The sequence below is a fragment of the Homo sapiens genome, chromosome 5 (assembly GCF_000001405.40).
Source record: "Homo sapiens chromosome 5, GRCh38.p14 Primary Assembly".
NCBI lineage: Eukaryota > Metazoa > Chordata > Mammalia > Primates > Hominidae > Homo > Homo sapiens.
The window spans coordinates 44,640,598-44,642,789 of NC_000005.10; the positions used below are offsets into that span (position 1 = coordinate 44,640,598).

Sequence of the window (2,192 nt, forward strand, 5' to 3'; positions counted from 1 at the left end):
CTTCCAAGGTCTACATGGAGTTCTTACCTAGGTCAATCCCCCTGAAACATCTATGCTGCTGGTTTGTATACCCCTAGGACTGAGGAGTGGCGAAGGGTTGTCTTTTTATTGATTGTTTTGGAGCTTTGACTTGTGGTCAAGATGACCACTTACATGCATGAAAAGCACCTCAAGGTGTGAAATGAGGTCAGAGACAAGGAGAGAAGCTGATCAGACTGCAGACTGGGGGCCAATTGGTAGGACGCCACCATATACCACAGCAGGACTCGGTGGAGTCCAGAATCCTAAATTCAAATCTGGTCATCCACATCCTTATGGAGGTATATTTCTCAAGGTAGTGTCACGGAATCCTTGGGGTGTCCCTTCACCAGCTGGAAATATCTATAGCTGGTGGTGCCTTCTGCCTGAGTATTGCTTGCACCCAATAAGCTTGTTCTACCCACTTTGCCTGGCAGGCTGCATTCACCTCACACTACCAGCTCAGATCCAACACCTGCCAAGGGTGAGTGAGGCACGGAGTGGCAAGGGGTGTGTGGGTAAGCAAGCGTGGGGTCTTGCCACTGTGCACAGCCAGGCATACTGGTTGCTGCAGCAGGGCAGGCAGCTCCAGGTGCCAGCACAGGTGCCAGCTCTATGCAAGGCTGCAGGTGGACCAGATGTACCACACGTGGCTTCCACTATGGGCACCTGTGTTTAGACAAGGGGATCACAGTGGGATCTGGAAGCTTGGAGATGCGAGGAACCGCAGAGCCCCAAAGAGGGTGTCACAGCCCTGGCTTGGGGAACCCCTAGGTCAGGGCTCCCCAAAGGCCCACAGCTCCTCTCTCCTTCCTGTCACCCACAACATGGCAAGAGGGGCTGGGGCGCATTTCAGTCCAGCCATTCAGTGGGTCCTGAGTTCTTGTCCCACCTCCAGGAAGAATGAGGTACATGACAACTGGAGGGTGAGCAAGGTGGAGAGGAGCTTCGTTGAGTGACAGAACAGCTCTCAGGAGACCCAAAGTGGGTAGCTCCTTTCTGCAGCAGGTCTTCCTGACGAGTGTCCTGCTCTCAGTGGAGAGAAGGCCTAGAGTGGGTAACTCCTTTCCACAGGCAGGCTGTTCCAATGTCTGTTGGGGTCTAGCTGAGTCCAGGGTTTTTATGGTCTCAGAAGGGAGGAAGTGTGTGCTGATGGGTCCATGGGCAGCCATGGGTGGGCCTGAGAAAAGCACCATAAATTCTCACTCTGGGCCATAAACTCCATCCAAAACTGGCAGCCCGGCCTCCAGGGTTCAGGCTCTCCTTGGCTTAAAAGTGAGGTTTCACCAGGGACCCACCCCTTTCAGCCCAAGAACCTGTCTGCTTCCTGCCAGCAACATGCCATCCACTATGCCCAGGCTGTTCATGCAGAGGAACACCTGCAGTCCAGTGCCAAGCCACCCTTCAGCCCTGCTTCTGGCCTCCCTCCCTGAGCTCCTCAGTGCCCATAGCTTCAGAGGGGGGCCAAAGGAGAGTAGGGATGGGCTGGCATGTCAGCGCTGCCCCAAGTGTGCACATACCTGGCTAGATGGCAACAGTGCCTATGTTCAACTTCAACTTTGCTCCAAAATCAAAGTGGGTGCCAGGAGCAGAGAGAGACCAGGGAGCAGGAGCAGGCACTTCCAAGCCTGCAGGGGTAGGGGGCTGCTTTCTGAGCCCCTGAGAGTGCAGGGATGCCCAGATCTAGAGCTGCAGCTGGGCAGCTGCAGCTGTGCTTGGGAGTGCAGGACTCCTGCCCCTTTAACTTGATAGGGGACAGGGCTCCTGCCTGTTCCTGGTATCTACCAGCTCTACCACCCCTGGTGGAGCTGGTGTCCCTGCAGTGGCTGCTCCAGAAAGGCTACCACTATTAGTAAGAGATAGAACATTTTCAATATGGTATGGGAGTTTTCATTTATATTCTTGTTCTAGGTCCTGCAAATATCAAAGGTTTTTCTGCATGAGATAAAATTTATATTATCCTTACAATAATCCTATAGGTGGACACGACTGTTTTCCGTACTTTAGAAGAGGGAACCAAGGCACAAGATAACTGCATAGCTATCTGTGGCCACACAGCAGTGAGCAAGGTTTTGAAGAAGGCTGGTATTGCCATCCTAAGGTATCTTAACTACCGTACTGTGCTGCTTCACAAAACACTGCACCAAAACTTCTCACAGAAAATTCCTGGACAA

General features: G+C 52.8%; 1 annotated feature.

Moving 5' to 3' along the window:
• Positions 1,011-1,511: an enhancer, noted in NCBI's record as "H3K4me1 hESC enhancer chr5:44641710-44642210 (GRCh37/hg19 assembly coordinates)". NCBI's record gives its function as "activates a minimal SCP1, AML or CMV promoter by ChIP-STARR-seq in naive H9 embryonic stem cells {active_cell/tissue: H9 hESC(naive)}" and the evidence as "EXISTENCE:reporter gene assay evidence [ECO:0000049][PMID:30033119]".